The 19,969-nt window shown below is 45.2% G+C and overlaps 1 long non-coding RNA gene across 7 annotated transcripts in view, besides 2 other annotated features; it reads right to left on the reverse strand.

The window, feature by feature from the left end:
• The window catches only part of LOC102724687 (uncharacterized), a 233,269-nt gene that overhangs the window by 24,050 nt on the left and 189,250 nt on the right, over positions 1–19,969 (reverse strand). For 2 of the 7 annotated variants that reach the window (XR_929014.3, XR_007060950.1), the window contains exon 1: positions 5,747–5,859. The exons of the other annotated variants lie outside the window; for them this stretch is intronic. This is a non-coding gene — a long non-coding RNA (uncharacterized LOC102724687). Of the gene's footprint in view, positions 1–5,746; positions 5,860–19,969 lie in introns of those variants that run through there. 7 annotated transcript variants of the gene reach the window in all.
• Positions 4,919–5,744: an enhancer, noted in NCBI's record as "H3K27ac-H3K4me1 hESC enhancer chr8:67140301-67141126 (GRCh37/hg19 assembly coordinates)". NCBI's record gives its function as "activates a minimal SCP1, AML or CMV promoter by ChIP-STARR-seq in primed H9 embryonic stem cells {active_cell/tissue: H9 hESC(primed)}" and the evidence as "EXISTENCE:reporter gene assay evidence [ECO:0000049][PMID:30033119]".
• Positions 5,745–6,568: an enhancer, noted in NCBI's record as "H3K27ac-H3K4me1 hESC enhancer chr8:67141127-67141950 (GRCh37/hg19 assembly coordinates)". NCBI's record gives its function as "activates a minimal SCP1, AML or CMV promoter by ChIP-STARR-seq in primed H9 embryonic stem cells {active_cell/tissue: H9 hESC(primed)}" and the evidence as "EXISTENCE:reporter gene assay evidence [ECO:0000049][PMID:30033119]".

Raw genomic sequence — 19,969 nt, forward strand, 5'->3', positions numbered from 1 at the left:
CATGGGAGCAGCTCCTGTTGACCTGTGGAGGAGAGGTCTCTGCAGCCTCTCCCACAGAGGGGAAGCACTAGCTTGTTCTAAGAAAGGGTAGGTTGCCTTGGCAAACTCAGAGGATTTGGGGCAGTCTTCAGAGACCTCCACTTAGATGTCTCCCTTCCATATTCCAGGGCCCCAGGTTTTCTCATCCAGGGCCCTGACCTTAGCATAATGGACCTGCTCTGCAATTCTAAGTAACTGTCTAACTGATAGACGCTGCTCAGCTGTGTCCAGTGTCAACTGCAGGAGATGGGGGTCTCTTTGTTCACTGCCAAAGAGAACCTCTGGCTCTCACATTTAGCCTTTAACTGCTTGTCAAGGCCTCAGCTTCTCACTAGAAAGGCTCCCATCTCATCCTCTGCAGGGCATCAGGCAAATGAGTAGTAACCAGCCAACCCCACTGATCTTGCAGACATCTCCCCCTGCCCCTACAATTTTCAAACTCCTGAATCATTACTCCTGCAAGGTGGCTCTCATCACTGGGGAGTTTTCCAGGTTACCATGGGTAAAAAGTTTAGTATTTGGGCCTTCACTCTGTGCCAGAGATCACTCATTTTCTATCTATCACACAGGATGGTGCCCCCTTTGCCTTCCAGGCTGTGAGTAAGCCCATCTCACAACCTCGTTTTACCACCTGTCTTTTCACCCAACTCCTGACATCACTTGTGTTAGTTTGGGCCCTCCGGGGGTTAAGTATGCAAGAGGCTTGTTGGAGGAAGTGCCTGTGAAGGATAAAGGGGAGGGAGCAGGAAGAGGCAGGCAGAGCCTTCAGGCCACAATGCAGGTTGAATTCCTGCGAAGGAGACCGGGAGGGAGGGGACTGGATAGGAAGAGTCTGGGACTGCAGCACAGTTCCTAGAAAAGCTCAGCCAGCTGATGCGGAGCCCTTGAATCAGAGTCGTGTGTCGGAGGAGTCTTGCATCTCTCAGGAATGGACCAGTAGTAATACCACCACCATGGTCAGTCACTAGCTGGGAGCAGTCCACAGGAAATGTGGCATAGGGGCAAACACAGTGGACAATCCAGAGTGTTAACTGCTGGGGGCATCAGCCAGTGATGCTCCCTACAGCAGAACTCAGCAGTGCATTTTCATGAGCACCTCAATAATACACTAATGCCCAGACTAAGTCTGGCTATGATGTTAAAGATAGATAAAACCTAGATAACATTCACATTTTGATAGCTATATATAAAAAAATTACAACAATAGAGAATAGAGGGATTTTAAGATGTATAGCAGGACCAATGGGAAAAAAATAATTTGGTGCAATTGAATCTCCCTTGGCCCTCCTCAAATCAGATCACATAGGAAGCTACTCTGTATGGTGCCATTTTTGAAGAAATACATGCCCTTGATAACCTTATAAAATGGAAATGATACCATTTTAGAATTCAAAGGAAGGTGGTTCAATTAGGGAGTTGGGAATGAAATGCTCAAAATAAAGTCATTTCTGCCTTCCTATCTTGGGCAGAGAGGTGAATAGCCTTACAGTTGAATGAAGCAATTTTTCCACCTGCATTTTTAATAGCCAGGGAAAGAGAATGGTGATGCCAGTCTGCAGAGACTCTTAAAATTGGAAGGGACCCAATAAATCATGTTCATTGTACATTGACCTCCTATTTAGCAGTAAAACCTGTGCAAGATTCTCACCCTCAATTCCTAAGGGGTTAATTGTCCTAGACTTGCATGCCTCCAGTGACAGGGACCTCACTGCTTCCCGAGATAGCCAATTTTGTGGTTAGACTGCTCTAGTTTTATAATGCTGCTTTCAAAAGTAATAGAATCAGCACTCTTTGCCACACTTGGCCATGTATTATCAAATATTATCTCACTCAGGGAGGGAGAATTTTTTTTTCTGTTTCATAAAAGGGGAGCCTGAGATTCAGAGTGACTAAGTGATTTGCTCAATGTCACACAACTGGAATTCAATTCCAAGCCCAGTTCTGTTCCTCCATCTCCCCGCAAACGCCTTAGAGTGTGCTTGAATCTGTCTCTAATTTTCACTTCTACTGATTCTAGTTCACACTCAGAAATCTCACAGTACAAGCCTACTCTTATCATACACATGATGTTCCTTCCAGTGTCTGGGTCAGTCCTTGCATTATACTGTATGTCATTTTAGTTTCCAGGTTAAATGCCCAATTTCAACTGTTTCTCAAATGCCTCATTCCCAGATATCCTCAGACAGTCTCACCCAGATGCATTTCAGGTTTCTAATATCCCTTTTAATGTGACACATCTTGAACTGAGCACATCCTCCAGGCATATTATGACTTGTGCGATGTGGAAACAAGCTATCACCTCTCTTTCCCCACACACTGTACTTCTGTTGATGCAATGACATCATGCTATTGACTCCAAAAACATATAAGCAATTAATGCCACTAAATCCTTTTTCACACAGGCAGCTATTAAATTGTATCTTCCTCATTCTGTACAGGTACAATGAGTTTTTTGAATCATATTCATTCTGCTTAACTTAAAAATGTTCCAAAAATATTGTTCCAGACTGTTAAAATTGATAGTTTTGGGGTTTTTTATTTGTTTGTTGTTGTTGTTGTTGTTGTTGTTTTTGAGACAGAGTTTTGCTGTTGTTGCCCAGGCTGGAGTGTAATGGCACAATCTTGGCTCACCGCAATCCCCGCCTCCTGGGTTCAAGCGATTCTCCTACCTCAGCCTCCCGATAGCTGGGGTTACAGGCATGTGCCACCATGCCCGGCAAATTTTGTATTTTTAGTAGAGATGGGGTTTCTCCATGTTGGTCAGGCTGGTCTCGAACTCTCGACCTCAGGTGATCCACCCGCCTCAGCCTCCCAAAGTGCTGGGATTACAAGTGTGAGCCACTGCGCCTGACCAAAATTGTTAGTCCTGTTAACATGATTTCAATGCCATTTTCAATTTCAATTGAAGATGACCTGATTTCAGATGCTACCAAATCACATCATCATCAATAAATTAGTATTTTTTGAGAGAGCCTGTCCCACTACCACATATTGCAGCGCCTACTAAAATGTGATATTTTTTAGGCCTGATACAGTGACTCATGCGTGTAATCACAGCACTTTGGGAGGCTGAGGCGGGTGGATCCCTTGAGGTCAGGAGTTCAAGACCAGCCTGGCCAACATAGCAAAACCCCGTCTCTACTAAAAATACAAAAATTAGCTGGGCATGGTGGCATGTGCCAGTAATCCCAACTACTTGGGAGGCTGAGGCACGAGAATCACTTGAGCCTGGGAGGCGGAGGTTGCAGTGAGCCAAGATCACGCCCACTGCACTTCAGCCTGGGCAATGCAGTGAAACTCCATCTCAAACAAAATGTAGTATCTTAGTCTATTTTATGCTATTAGATTAGAATACCACAGACTAGGTAATTTATAATGAACAGAAATTTATTTGGCTTGCAGTTCTGGAGGCTAGGAAGTCCGAGATCAAGGCATGACATCTGGTAAGGGCCTTCTCATTATGTCGTAGCATGGCAAAAGGCATCAAATGGCAAGAGAGCACAAAAGAAGGCCAACCTTAATTTTATAACAAACCCACTCCCACAACAACATTAATCTATTCGTGAGGACAGAGCCCTCATGACCTAATCACCCCTTAAAGGTCCTACCTCTTAATACTATCACAATTAGCCATTAAGTTTCAATACCTAAATTATGCAGGAGACACATTCAAACCACAGCATTCTACCCCCTCCCCCTTATGTGCTTCTCACATGCAAAATATACTCATTCCATCTTCATAACCCCAAAATCTTAACTTGTTCCAACATCATAAGTCCAAAGTCCAGTGTCTCATCTGAATCAGATATGGATGAGACTCAAGGCATGATTAATTCCAAGGCAAATTTCTCTTTAGCTGACAGTCTGTGAAATTAACAAGTTACACGCTTCCAAAATATAATAGTGGGACAGGCCTAGGATAGACATTCCCATTGCAAGAGGGAGAACTAGGAAAAAAGAGAGGGGCAACTAGTTCCAAATAAGTCCAAAACCCAACAGCAAAAACAACATTGAGTCTTAAAGCTGGAGAATAACCTCTTTGTCTCCATCTTCCCCATTCTGGACATGCTGGGGTGGGAGTTGGTCCCCCAAGGCCTCAGGCAGCTCCACCCTTATGGAACTCTGTGCCAGGAATCAAGGTCAAAGACCAAATACAGTTTATTATTATGCCATAGCCCAAAATGAGAAACAGCCCTGATGTCCTTCAACAGGTGAATGGTTTAAAAAATGTGATATAACAATATCATGGAGTACTACTCAGCAATTAAAAGGAATAAGCAATTTATGCTCATAACAACTTGGCTTTGCTGGGCTCAGTTCACCCAGCAGCTCTAATAGATTGAAGTCTTGTCCCTGCAGCTTTTCCAGGCTGGAGTTGCATGCTGGTGACCTTACAATTCTAGGGTTTTTGAAGCTGCCACACTCCCACAGCTCTGGTAAGCATTGCCCTCATAGGGACTCTCCATGGTGGCTCTGCCCCTATGATAAGTCTCTGCCTGAGTCCCTAGGCTGTCCACAATATCTTTTGAAATCTAAGTGGAGGTTTCCATGGACCCACTGCCCTTACATGGGGTTGAATCTGAGTGTCTGCAGATTCAGCACTACATGAATGCTGCCAAAGCTTACTGCTTGCACCCTTCAAAGCTATGGCATGGGCCACACTTGGGACTTCTGGAGCCATGGTTGGGGAACTTGAGGAGCACTGCACCAGAATGTAAGGAGCAAAGTCTCAAGGCAGTGCAGGGTAGCAAATGGTGAGGTCCTGCAGGCACTGCTCTGGAAACCTTGCCCTCAAAGTCCTAGCTTGCCCTGAAGATCTCTGAAATGACTTTGAGGTCATTCTCCCATTGTCTTGATGAATAGAATCTGGCTTCCTTCTATCCACATTAATCTCTTAGAAAATGGTCACTTGGCCACACCTTTAGTATTCTTCTTCCCAACATGCTTTTTTAATTCTCTTACATGGCCAGGCTGAGCATTTTCCAAACCTTTTCATTCTGCTTCCCTTTTAATTATAAATCTCATATTTAAAATAATTTATCTCAAGATGGCCAAATAGGAACAGCTCCAGTCTGCAGCTCCCAGCGAGATCAACACAGAAGGTGAGTGGTTTCTGCATTTCCAACTGAGGTACCCAATTCTTCTAATTGGAACTGGTTGGACAGTGGGTGCAGCCCACGGAGGGCAAGCCAAAGTGGAGTGGGGCATCACCTCACCCGGGAAGCACGAGGGGTCGGGGAATATCTTCTCCCCTATCCAAGGGAAGCCATGAAGGACTGAACCTGAGGAACCATGCACTCCAGCCCAGATACTGCGCTTTTCCCATGGTCTTTGCAACCTGCAGACCAGGAGATCCCCTCCGGTGCCTACCCCACCAGGGCCCTGGGTTTCAAGCACAAACCTGGGTGGCCGTTTGGGCAGTCACCGAGCTAGCTGCAGGAATTATATTTTTTTTTTCCATACCCCAGTGGCATGTGGAATGCCAGTGAGACAGAAACGTTCACTCCCCTGGAAAGGGGTGCTGAAGCCAGGGAGCCAAGTGGTCTGGCTTGGGGGGTCCCACCCCCATGGAGCCCAGCAAACTAAGATCTACTGGCTTGAAATTCTCACTGCCAGCACAGCAGCAGTCTGAGATCAACCTGGAATGCTGGAGTTTGGTGGGGGGAGGGGTGTCCGCCACTGCTGAGGCTTGAGGAGGTGGTTTTACCTTCACAGTGTAAACAAAGCCTCTGGGAAGTTCAAACTGGGTGGAGCCCACTGCAGCTCAGCAAGGCCCTTGCAGCCAGACTGCCAGATTTCTCCTCTCTGGGCAGGGCATCTCTGAAAAAAAAGGCAACAGCCCCAGTCAGGGACTTACAGATAAAACCCCAGCTCCCTGGGACAGAGCACCCGGGGGGAAGGGATGGCTGTGAGCGCAGCTTCAGCAGACTTAAATCTCCCTGCCTGATGGCTCTGAAGAGAGCAGCGGACCTCCCAGCACACCATCTGAGCTCTGCTAAGGGCCAGAATGCCTCCTCCAGTGAGTCCCTGACCCCCATGTTTCCTGACTGGGAGACACCTCCCAGTAGGGGCTGACAGACACCTCATACAGGAGAGCTCTGGCCGGCATCTGGCAGGTGCCCCTCTGGGACGAAGCTTCCAGAGGAAAGAACAGGCAGCAATCTTTGCTGTTCTGCAGCCCCGACTGGTGATACCCAGGCAGACAGGGTCTGGAGTGGACCTCCAGCAGACTCCAGCAGGCCTTCAGCAGAGGGGCCTGACTATTAGAAGGAAAACTAACAAACAGAAAGGAAAAGCATGTCCACTTAAAGACCCCATCCGAAGGTCACCAACATCAAAGACCAAAGTTAGATAAATCCACAAAGATGGGAAGAAACCAGTGCAAAAAGGCTGAAAATTCCAAAAACCAGAACGCCTCTTCTCCTCCAAAGGATCACAACTCCTCACCAGCAAGGGAACAAAACTGGATGGAGAATGAGTTTGACAAATTGACAGAAGTAGGCTTCAGAAGGTGGGTAATAACGAACTCCTCCGAGCTAAAGAAGCATGTTCTAACCCAATGCAAGAAAACTAAGAACCTTGAAAAAAGGTTAGATGAATCGCTAACTAGAATAACCAGTTTAGAGAAGAATATAAATGACCTGATGGAGCGGAAAAACACAGCATGAGAACTTTGTGAAGCACACACAAGTATTAATAGCCAAATCCATCAAGCAGAAGAAAGGATATAAGAGATTGAAGATCAACTTAATGAAATAAAGCAAGAAGACAAGATTAGAGAAAAAAGAATAAAAAGGAATGAACAAAGCGTCCAAGAAATATGGGACTATGTGAAAAGACCAAACCTACATTCGATTGGTGTACCTGAAAGTGATGGGAAGAATGGAACCAAGTTGGAAAACGCTCTTCAGGATATTATCCAGGAGAACTTCCTCAACCTAGCAAGACAGGCCAACATTCAAATTCAGGAAATACAGAGAACACCACAAAGATACTTCTCAAGAAGAGCAACCCTAAGACACATAATCGTCAGATTCACCAAGGTTGAAATGAAGGAAAAAATGTTAAGGGTAGCCAGAAAGAAAAGTCGGGTTACCCACAAAAGGAAGCCCATCAGACTAACACCAGATCCCTTGGCAGAAACCCTACAAGCCAGAAGAGAGTAGGGGCAATATTCAACATTCTTGAAGAAAATAATTTTCAACCCAGAATTTCATAGCAAAACTAAGCTTCAAAAGCAAAGGAGAGATAAAATATTTTATAGACAAACAAATGCTGAGAGATTTTGTCACCACCAGGCCTGCCTTACAAGAGCTCCTGAAGGAAGCACTAAACATGGAAAGGAACAACCAGTACTAGCCACTGCAAAAACATACCAAATTGTAAAGACCATCAATCCTATGAAGAAACTGCATCAACTAATGTGCAAAATAACCAGCTAGCATCATAATGACATGATCAAATTCACACATAACAATATTAACCTTAAATGTAAATGGGCTAAATGCCCCAATTAAAAGACACAGACTGATAAGGATAGAGTCAAGACCCATCAGCGTGCTGTATTCAGGAGACCCACCTCATGTGCAAAGACACACATAGGCTCAAAATAAAGGGATGGAGGAAAATTTACCAAGCAAATGGAAAGCAAAAAAAAAAAAAAAAAGCAGGAGTTGCAATCTTAATCTCTGATAAAACAGATTTTAAACCAATAAAGATCAAAAGAGACAAAGAAGGGCATTACATAATGGTAAAGGGATCAATGCAACAAGAAGCATTAACTTTCCTAAATATATGTGCACCCAACACAGGAGCACCCAGATTCATAAAGCAAGTTCTTAGGGACCTACAAAGAGATTTAGACTCCCACACAATAATAGTGGGAGACTTTTAACAACCTGTCAATATTAGACAGATCAACAAGACAGAAAATTAACAAGGATATTCAAGACTTGAACTCAGCTCTGGACAAAGTGGACCTAAAAGACATCTACAGAACTCTTCACCCCAAATCAACAAAATATACATTCTCAGCATCTCATCACACTAATTCTAAAATTGACCATAAATTGGAAGTAAAACACTCCTCAGCAAATGCAAAAGAATGGAAATCATAACAGTCTCGCAGTCCACAGAGCAATCAAATTAGAACTCAGGATTAAGAAACTCACTCAAAGCCGCACAACTACATGGAAACTGAACAACCTGCTCCTGAATGACTACTGGGTAAATAACATAATGAAGGCAGAAATAAAGATGTTCTTTGAAACCAATGAGAATGAAGACACAATGTACCAGAATCTCTGGGACACATTTGAGGCAGTGTGTTCTAGAGAGAAATTTATAGAACCAAATGCCCACAAGAGAAAGCAGGAAAGATCTCAAATTGACCCCCTAACATCAAAATTAAAAGAACTCCTCTCCCTCTCCCTCTCCCTCTCCCTCTCCCTCTCCCTCTCCGTCTCCCTCTGCCTCTCCCCACGGTCTCCCTCTCCCTCTCTTTCCACCATCTCCCTCTGATGCCGAGCCGAAGCTGGACTGTACTGCTGCCACCTCGGCTCACTGCAACCTCCCTGCCTGATTCTCCTGCCTCAGCCTGCCGAGTGCCTGCGATTGCAGGCGCGTGCCACCACGCCTGACTGGTTTTTGTATTTTTTTGGTGGAGACGGGGTTTGGCTGTGTTGGCCGGGCTGGTCTCCAGCTCCTAACCGCGAGTGATCCGCCAGCCTCGGCCTCCCGAGGTGCCGGGATTGCAGACGGAGTCTGGTTCACTCAGTGCTCAATGGTGCCCAGGCTGGAGTGCAGTGGCGTGATCTCGGCTCGCTACAACCTCCACCTCCCAGCTGCCTGCCTTGGCCTCCCAAAGTGCCGAGATTGCAGCCTCTGCCCGGCCACCACCCCATCTGGGAAGTGAGGAGCGTCTCTGCCTGGCCACCCATCGTCTGGGACGTGAGGAGCCCCTCTGCCTGGCTGCCCAGTCTGGAAAGTGAGGAGCGTCTCTGCCCGGCCGCCATCCCATCTAGGAAGTGAGGAGCGTCTCTGCCCGACCGCCCATCGTCTGAGATGTGGGGAGCGCCTCTGCCCCGCTGCCCCATCTGGGATGTGAGGAGCGCCTCTACCCGGCCGCGACCCCGTCTGAGAAGTGAGGAGACCCTCCGCCTGGCAACTGCCCCATCTGAGAAGTGAGGAGCCCCTCCGCCCGGCAGCCGCCCCGTCTGAGAAGTGAGGAGCCCCTCCGCCCGGCAGCCACCCCGTCTGGGAAGTGAGGAGCGTCTCCGCCCGGCAGCCACTCCGTCCGGGAGGGAGGTGGGGGTCAGCCCCCGCCAGCCCAGCCGCCCCGTCCGGAAGGGAGGTGGGGGGGTCAGCCCCCCGCCCGGCCAGCCGCCCCGTCCGGGAGGTGAGGGGCGCCTCTGCCCGGCCGCCCCTACTGGGAAGTGAGGAGCCCCTCTGCCCGGCCAGCCGCCCCATCTGGGAGGGAGGTGAGGTGGTCAGCCCCCCACCCGGCCAGCCACCCCGTCCGGGAGGGAGGTGGGGGGTCAGCCCCCCGCCCAGCCAGCCGCCCCATCTGGGAGGGAGGTGGGGGGATCAGCCCCCTGCCCGGCCAGCCGCCCCGTCCGGGAGGGAGGTGGGGGGATCAGCCCCCCGCCCGGCCAGCCGCCCCACCCTGGAGGTGAGGGGCGCCTCTGCCCGGCCGCCCCTACTGGGAAGTGAGGAGCCCCTCTGCCTGGCCACCACCCCGTCTGGGAGGTGTACCCAACAGCTCATTGAGAACAGGCCATGATGACAATGGCAGTTTTGTGGAATAGAAAGGGGGGAAAGGTGGGGAAAAGATTGAGAAATCGGATGGTTGCCGTGTCTGTGTAGAAAGAAGTAGACATGGGAGACTTTTCATTTTGTTCTGTACTAAGAAAAATTCTTCTGCCTTGGGATCCTGTTGATCTGTGACCTTACACCCAACCCTGTGCTCTCTGAAACATGTGCTGTGTCCACTCAGGGTTAAATGGATTAAGGGCGGTGCAAGATGTGCTTTGTTAAACAGATGCTTGAAGGCAGCATGCTGGTTAAGAGTCATCACCACTCCCTAATCTCAAGTACCCAGGGACACAAACACTGCGGAAGGCCACAGGATCCTCTGCCTAGGAAAACCAGAGACCTTTGTTCACTTGTTTATCTGCTGACCTTCCCTCCACTATTGTCCTATGACCCTGCCAAATCCCCCTCTGCAAGAAACACCCAAGAATGATCAATAAAAATAAATAAATAAAGAAAGAAAGAAAGAACTCTCCAAAAATTATACTAAAACCCATTTATCACTTTTGCAGACATTTTTAAATTCAGTGCAGTGAAATAGGGTGTTAATGAAAGATTGTAATAGAGTAGAAGTCAGTAAAGTGATGAAAACATTTTCTAAAACTTGACATGATCATTTACTGGTAAAATCACTCTCTGGTAGCCGATACTTTTTTCTTTTCTGTATGCCCTTATAGATGAAATACAAAACAAGTGCTTAATAAAATATATCACCAAAATTAAAAGAACTACAGAAGCAACAGCAAACAAATTCAAAAGCTAGCAGAACACAAGAAATGACTAAGAGCAAAACTGAAGGAGATAGAAACACAAAAAAGCCTTCAAAAAAAATCAAAGAATCCAGGAGCTGGTTTTTTGAAAAGATCAACAAAATAGATAGACATCTAGCCAGACTAAAAAAGAAGAAAAGAGAGAATAATCAAATAGATGCAATAAAAAATGATAAAGGGAATATCATCACCAATCCCATAGAAATACAAACTACCATCAGAGAATACTGTAAACACCTCTATGCAAATAAACTAGAAAATCTAGAAGAAATGGATAAAATCCTGGACACATACACTCTCCCAAGACTAAACCAGGAAGAAGTCAAATTCCTAAAGAGACCAATAGAAAGTTCTGAAATTGAGGCAGTAATTAATAGCCTACCAACCAAAAAATGTCCAGGACCAGATGGATTCACAGCCGAATTCTACCAGAGGTAAAAAGAGGAGCTGGTACCATTCCTTCTGAAACTATTCCAAACAACAGAAAAAGAGGGACTCCTCCCTAACTCATTTTATGAGGCCAGCATCATCCTGATACCAAAACCTGGCAGAGACACAACAAAAAAAGAAAATGTCAGGCCAATATCCCTGATGAACACAGATGCAAAAATCCTCAATAAAATAGTGGCAAACCGAATCGAGCAGCACATCAAAAAGCTTATCCACCACTATCAAGTCAGCTTCATCCCTGGGATGTGAGGCTGGTTCAACATACACAAATCAATAAACGTAATCCATCACATAAACCGAACCAATGACAAAAACCACATGATTATCTCAATAGATGCAGAAAAGGCCTTCAACAAAATTCAACACCCCTTCATGCTAAAAACTCTCAATAAACTAGGTATCAATGGAATGCATCTCAAGGTAATAAGAGCTATTTATGACAAACCCACAGCCAATATCATACTGAATGGGAAAAAACTGGAAGCATTAACTTTGAAAACCAGCACAAGACAAGGATGCCCTCTCTCACCACTCCTATTCAACATAGTATTGGAAGTTCTGGTCAGGGCAATCAGGCAAGAGAAAGAAATAAAAGGTATTCAAATAGGAAGAGAGGAAGTCAAATTGTCTTTGTTTGCAGATTACATGATTGCATATTTAGAAAACCCCATCGTCTCAGCCTGAAATCTCCTTAAGCTGATAAACAACTTCAGCAAAGTCTCAGGATACAAAATCAATGTGCAAAAATCACAAGCATTCCTATACACCAATAACAGACAAACAGAGAGCCAAATCATGTGTAAACTCCCATTCATAATGGCTACTAAGAGAATAAAATACATAGGAATACAACTTACAAGGGATGTGAAGGACCTTTTCAAGGAGAACTACAAACCACTGCTCAAGGAAATAAGACAGGACACAAACAAATGGAAAAACATTCCATGCTCATGAATAGGAAGAATCAATATGAAAATGGCCATACTGCCCAAAGTAATTTATGGATTCAATGTTATCCCCATCAAGCTACCATTGACTTTCTTCATAGAATTAGAAAAAACTACTTTACATTTCATGTGGAACCAAAAAAGAGCCTGCATAGCCAAGACAACCCTAAGCAAAAACAACAAAGCTGGAGGCATCATGCTACCTGACTTCAAACTATACTACAAGGCTACAGTAAAAAAAAAAAACAGCATGGTACTTGTACCAAAACAGATATATAGACCAATGGAACAGAACAGAGGCCTCAGAAATAACACCACACATCTACAACCATCTGATCTTTGACAAACCTGACACAAACAAGCAATGGGGAAAGGATTCCCTATTTAATACATGATGTTGGGAAAACTGGCTAGCCATACACAGAAAACTGAAACTGGACCCCTTCCTTACACCTTATACAAAAATCAACTTAAGATGGATTAAAGACCAAAACATAAGACCCAAAGCCATAAAATCCTAGAAGAAAACCTAGGCAATACCATTCATGACATAGGCATGGGCAAAGACTTCATGACTAAAACACCAAAAGCAATGGCAACAAAAGCCAAAATTGACAAATGGGATCTAATTAAACTAAAGAGCTTCTGCACAGCAAAAGAAACTAGCATCAGAGTGAACAGACAACCTATAGAATGAGAGAAAATTTTTGCAATCTCCATGTGACAAAGGGCTCATATCCAGAATCTACAAAGAACTTAAATTTACGAGAAAAAAGCAAACAACCCCATCAAAAAGTGGGCAAAGGATATGAACAGACATTTCTCAAAAGAAGACATTTATACAGCCAGCAAACATAAGAAAAAATGCTCATCATCACTGGTCATTAGAGAAATGCAAATCAAAACCACAATGAGATACCATCTCATGCCAGTTAGAATAGCGATCATTAAAAAGTTAGGAAACAACAGATGCTGGAGAGGATGTGGAGAAATAGGAACGCTTTTACACTGTTGGTGGGTGTGTAAGTTAGTACAACCATTGTGGAAGACAATGTGGCAATTCCTCAAGGATCTAGAACTAGAAATACCATTTGACCCAGCCATCCCATTACTGGGTATTTATCCAAACGATTATAAATCATTCTACTATAAAGATACATGCACATGTATATTTATTGTGGCACTATTCACAATAGCAAAAACTTGGAACCAACCCAAATGTCCATCAATGATAGATCAGATAAAGAAAATGTGGCAAATACACACAATGGGATACTATGCAGCCATAAAAAAGGATGAGTTCATGTCCTTTGCAGGGACATGGATGAAGCTGGAAACCATCATTCTCAGCAAACTATCACAAGAACAGAAAACCAAACACCACATGTTCTCACTCATAAGTTGGAGCTTAATAATGATAACATATGGACACAGGGAGGGGAACATCACACACTGAGGCCTGTTGGGAGGTGGAGGGCTAGAACAGGGATAGCATTAGGAGAAATGCCTAATGTAGGTGATGGGTTGATGGGTGCAGCAAACCACCATGGCACAGGTATACCTATGTAACAAAACTGCACATGTACCCCAGAACTTAAAGTATAATAATAATAATAATAATAATTTCTCTCTTCTCTCTTTTCACTGTAAGCAGCCAAAAGAAGCCTTGCAGTGCCTTGAACACTTTGCTGCTTAGATATTTCTTCTGCCAGATATACTAGTTCACCACTCTTAAATTCTGTTTTCCATAAAACTCTAGGGCATTGACACAATTGCACAAATTCTTTGCAACTGTATAGCAAAAATGGCCTTTACTCCAGTTGGTTTTTTTGTTTTGTTTTGAGACAGTCTTGCTCTGTCACCCAGGCTGGAGTGAAGTGGCACAATCTCAGCTCACTGTAGCCTCTGCTCCCAGATTCAAGTGATTCTTGTGCCTCAACATCTTGAGCAACTAAGGCTACAGGTGTGGGCCACCATACCCAGCTAATTTTTTTGTATTTTTAGTAGAGACAGGGTTTCACCATGTTGCCCAGGCTGGTCTTGAACTTCTGAGCTCAGGCAATCTGCCAGCCCTGGCCTTGCAAATTGCTGCCATTATAGGATCCTTCGGGGGTGGTTTTTCTGGTGAGAAATCCCTGTGGCCGGTGGCGCCTTTGCCTGAGTTTTGCTTAGGCCCACTGGACTCATTCTGCCCACCTGACCTGGCAGGCCGAGCTTGGCTCGTGCTACCAGCCTGGATCCCACGCCTGTCAAACTCAAGCCAGGTGCGGAGTAGCAAGGGGTGTGTGAGCAAGCGAGTGTGGGGGTCTGGCCACGGTGCACAGTCAGGTACGCCGGCTGCTGCAGTGGGGCAGGTGCACCAGGTGCTGGCACAGGCACAGGCTCTCTGTGAGGCTATGGCCAGACCAGGCATGCTACAAGCAGCTTCCGTGGCTGTCACCAGGGAACACAGTGGCACCCGGAAGCTTGGAGACTCCAGGAACCACAGGGCCCCAAAGACTGAGTCACAGCCCTGGCTCAAGGAGCTCCCAGGTCTGGGCTCCCTAAAAGGCTACAGTTCTCTCCTTCTCTTCAACTGCAACATGGTGAGCAAGTGGCATGTTTCCGCCCTGTTTCTGTTATAGCTCTTTCAGCCCTGCCACTTGGCAGGTCCCAAGTTTGTGTCCTGTGTCCAGGAAGAACAAGGTACAAAGACAAGTAGAGAGTGAGCAAAGTCAAGAGGAGCTTTACCAAGTGACAGAATAGTTCCAAGGAGGCACTGGGGTGGATAGCTCCTCTCCTCAGGTAGATCATTCTGTCATCTCTGCAGCTCTCAGCACAGAGGAGGCCCTGGAGTGGGTAGCTCCTTTCTGCAGCTGGTCATCCTGACGTCTGCAGTAGGTAGCTACTCTCTGCAGCCAGTCTTCCCAATGTCTGCAGCTCTCAGCAGAGACAAGACCCTAGAGTGGGTAGCTCCCCTCTGCTACTGGTCATCTGGACATCTGCTCAGCTCTGGCTGAGCCCGGGGCAATTATGGGCCTCAGAGGGTAGGAAGTGCATGCTGATTGGTCCATGAGCAGGCCCAGAAAAGGCACCACAAGTTCTCACTCCAGTCAGTGGGACTGGCAGCCTGGCCCCCAGCCTTCAGGCGCTCCCTGGCCTGAAGTGCCAAGCTGCCCTCAGTGCCCCCATTGGCTTCCCTCCTATGCTTGTCAGTGCCCAAAGTACAGAGGGGGTCAAGGTGGCAGGGGCTTGGTGTGTCAGCACTGCCACAAGTGTGTGCATACCTGGCCAGGCTGTGACAGCATCTGGGTCTGGCCCTGACTTTGCTCTAAGATCAGAATGGGCACCAACAGCAGGGAGAAGCCATGCAGCAGGAGTAGGCACTTCCAAGCCTGCAGGGGCAGGAGGTGCCTTCCTGGGCTCCCAAGAGTGCAGGGATGCCTGGGTCCACAGCCACAGTTTGGGCAGCTGCACCCAGGGATTGGGGCTCTTACCTGCTCCATGCAGCGGAAGCCCAGGTCCATGGTGACAACTTGGGCAGCTGTGGCTGAACCAAGGGAGCTCCCATCCCACCAACTTGAAAAGGATGGGGATCCCACTTGTCCCTGGCTTCTGCCAGCTCTGTGGAATGTGCAGCCCTGGCCATGCCTCTCCACTGCAGCTGGCAAAATGGCAGCAGCTGCTCCAGACTAGCTGCCATTGCCATCACTAGGATTACAGGTGTGAGCCAGTATGCCCAGCCTTTACTCCAGTTTTTAATATCTTGTCCCTCATTTCCACCTAAGACCACATCAGAATGGCCTCTACATCCTATATTTCTACCAATCTTCTGATCTTAACCGCTTAAGAAATTTCAAAGAAGTTTCAAACTTTTCCTGTAGCTCTTCTCTTCTAAACCTTCACCAGAATCACCCTTAGTGCTTTTTTACAGCAATACACCTTTTTTCTATTATTGCTTGATCCTCGTAATTCTTCTAGCCTCTACTCATTCCCCAGTTCCAAAGCCACTTCTATATTTTCAGGTATCTGTTATAGCAACAGCCACACTTCACACTACCAATTTTCTGCCTTAGTCCATTTTATGCTGCTATAACATAATACCACAGACTAATTTGTAATAAATAGAAATTTATTTGGCTTACAGTTCTGAAGGCTGGGAAGTCCAAGATCGAGGGACTGCATCTGTTGAGGGCCTTCTTGCTGCCTCATAATATGGTAGAAGGCATCACATGGTGAGAGAGTGAAAAGGAGGGCCAAACTCACTTTCATAACAAACCCACTGTCACGATAATGGCTTTAATCCATTCATGAGAGCAGAGCCTTTGTGCCCTAATCACCTTTTAAAAGTCCCACCTCTCAACAGTGTTGCATTGAGGATTAAGTTTCCAACACATGAACTTGGGGGATACATTCAAACCATAGCACCTGGTTCTCTCCCTCCCCTTCTACTATCCTACCTGTCATAATGCTTCACTCTCTCTCCCCACTCTGTGCAGCCACTGGACCAACAGCAGTAGCTTCATCTGGAGAGCTTCATAGAAATGCAGACTTCTGGGACCCATCTCAGTCCTATATAATCAGAATCTGCACTTGAACAAAATTAAATTGATTTTATTTGCTCATTAAATTTTAGATGCTCCAGTCTAACATACTTTCAGCAGGTGATCTAATTCCCTGCCTCCAGTTTCTTCATCTGTCAAGTGAAGGAGAAGGAGAAGAAGCTCTCTAAGAGTCCTACAGCTCCTAAGTTCTCTAATGCTCTGCCTTCTCTCCTTCATAGTTGCCTTGAATTTTCCCCAGAGTTCTCCTGTGGTTCTACCATGAAGGCAGGGAAAAATTGATGGCAGATATAAAGATACATTTTATCCCTTTCAATATTAATAACCATAAATGAGACTTTTTAACTCAGGAGAGGCAGGGCACTGGTTTTGCAGCCGAGTCATTTGATCTCTGTCCTAATTGAGCACATGACTTTTAGTCGAGTTCCAGAAATATGACACTTGCACTGAGATCTGTGCCACAAAAAGGCTCAGAGATGTGTTTTGTCTTGTCTACCTGGGGTGAAAAAATGAAAGACACCTCCCCATGGGAGAAAAAAGCACAGACTTCTTTGGAATCAATTGATCTAAGTTCAAGTTCTAGCCCAGCCCTTTATTTTATGCATTTTTCAGTATGCTCATCTTAAACTGGGATTGCTGTGCCATGGGTTGCTGTGAGGCTTACATGAGATAATCTCTGCAATGGTTTGAATGCTTCTGTTTCTGTCCCCTTAGAATTAATGAGTTGGAAGCTTAATCTCCAGTGCAACAGTATTGGGCAGTGGAGCTTAATGGGAGATGTTTAGGTCATGAGGGCCCCATCCTTATGCATGGGTGAATGCCATTATAGAAAGGGCTGTGGGAATGAGTTCACTCTCTCCTGCTCTTCTGCCTTGTGAAGACACAACGTGCCTCCACTCCTGAGGAAAAAGTGCTCAAGGTGCCATCTTGAAAGCAAAGAGACCAAGCCTTAACTTTCAGTGCCTTCATCTTGGATTTCCCAGCCTCCAGACTGTGAGAAAATAAATTTCTATTCTATATAAATTACCTAATCTGTGGTATCCTGTTAAAGCAGCACAAAAGAGACTATGACAAACTTTGTGACATGCTTAGCCCAGAATGAGCTCAATAAATTATCTGTGTTTTTGTTATTGTTACCCTTTCATTTCTAAAACAGGGAAGCATTTAATTATCCCAAAGGGTTGGTGTAAGTACTAAATAATATATACAGATACATTTTAAAAATAGTTACAAATTACCCAATATTTCCTTTTTTGTTTTTACTTTTATTGATCATCCATAAGGGCAAATACTGAGCAAAGGTCTTAAGTGTCCACCCCCTAAAAACTTGAAGATAAAAATGAAGGTAAAAAGAAGATAAGCCAAAAGGAGGCATGGCTCCATTCAAACTTGATGCCCCTACATAAATTTGAAGGGTCACCACCAATCAATATTTAGCTTTACCAATAATGTTTATTAATATTTATCAATCTTATTAATCAAAGTTCTCCAGAGAAACAGAACCAATAGGATGGGGCTGCTCACTGAGGGAGAGACGGAAGTATTTATTTTAAGAACTTGGCACATGCATTGTCGGGGGCAAGTTCCAAATCTGCAGGCAAGGCCAGCAGGCTGCAGACTCAGGGAGCTTACGGAAGAGTTGATGTTGCAGCTCGAATACAAAGGCAAAATCCCCTCTTCTTTGGGGAGGTCAGTCTTCAACTAATTGAATGAGGCCCACCCACATTATGGAGAGTGATATGGTTTGGATCTGTGTCCCCCGCAAGTCTCGTGTCGAATTGTAATTCCCCAGTGTGGGAGGTGTGGCCTGGTGGCAGGTGATTGGATCATGGGGGCAGAGTTATCATACACCCTTAGTGCTATACAGTGAGTAAGTTCTCATGAGATCTGGTTGTTAAAACTGTGCAGCACCTCTCCCTCTCGTGCTTGTGGTCCTGTTCCTAGCATGTAAGACACCTGTTCCCATTTTGCCTTCCACCACAAGTAAAAGCTCCCTGAGTCCTCCCCAGAAGCAGATGCTGCCATGCTTCTTGTAAAGCCTGTGGAACCATAGCCAATTAAATCTTTTTTCTTTATAAATTACCAGTCTCAGGTATTTCTTTATAGCAGTGTGAGAATAGACTAATGCAGAGGGTAATCGGCTTTACTCAAAATTCCACTGATTTAATGTTAATCTCTTCCAAAAAGTATATTTGCGGCAACATCCAGACCAGTGTTTAAACAAATATCTGGATGCTGTGGCCTAGCCAAGCTGATACATAAAACTAACCCTCACACTATGCTATATATAAATAGGTGTGCCATACAATTTTTATGATATCATTGTCTTCTCAGCTCCATAGGCCTCTTATTCTTTCAGATAAACCAGTGGATTGCTTGGTTCTGTTTGTTCATGCAACTACAATAAGGCACTGATAGGTCCCTTTTATTTATTTATTTATTTTTAATTTAATTTAAATTTTTCTTTTTTTGAGATGGAGTTTTGCTCTTGTCACCCAGGCTGGAGTGCAATGGTGTAATCTCAGCTCACTGCCACCTCCGCCTCCTGCCTCAGCCTCCCAAAGTAGCTGGGATTACAGGCACCCACCACCATGCCCAGCTAATTTTTTTGTATTTTTAGTAGAGACGGGGTTTCTCCATGTTGGCCAGGCTGGTGTTGAACTCCTGACCTCAGGTGATCCACCCACCTCAGCCTCCCAAAGTGCTGGCATTACAGGCATGAGCCACCGCGCCCGGCCAATAATTTTCTTTATGATAGAAAAATTTTAAAAGTTGGAACAAATGGCTCTGACAGCTTTTCTATTTTTTCTCCCCTCTCGCTCCTTATTCTGTTAGTATTTAATATCATTTTAAGTAACAGAGAGAACAGATAACTACCATTCCCTGTAGGTGATGATTTATTCTAACAATATATTTTCCTAATTTCAAACTAATTTTCCTTCTCCCATTAGCTATGGTAGATCTGTCAAGAGAATGTTATTGCATTAAATGATAGTTGTGTCATGGCCAGTTGCAAAGGCACCTTCTCATGCTCAGGGGTCATTAATGGAATCCATCTTCAAGAGGTCAGCTCATCCCCTCAGTGCTCTGCTGTGCCCAAAGACAGTCAGTCTAAGACAAACGGGGTTAGTTGTCCTATGAAGACTTCATTAGGCACTTTAAAGTCTAGACAGAAAAATGAGTTGTCAAGGAAACTGGTTAAACTCATTAAAAAAAGATGATCCTAGTATAGTGGACTGACAAAAAAAAGGGGAATTTTTTTTTAAAGATGCTTGCTTTTACTTATATAATAATCTTATAACCATTGCTACTGCCCCCCAGTAATGTTTGTTGTGTAAATGCTGTTAACACAGATGTCCCTGCAGCATGGAACCACAGCCTACATGTGCTGTCCCTTTAGGAGAGATTCTCA

This window comes from Homo sapiens, chromosome 8 (genome assembly GCF_000001405.40).
Source record: "Homo sapiens chromosome 8, GRCh38.p14 Primary Assembly".
Classification (NCBI taxonomy): Eukaryota; Metazoa; Chordata; class Mammalia; order Primates; family Hominidae; genus Homo; species Homo sapiens.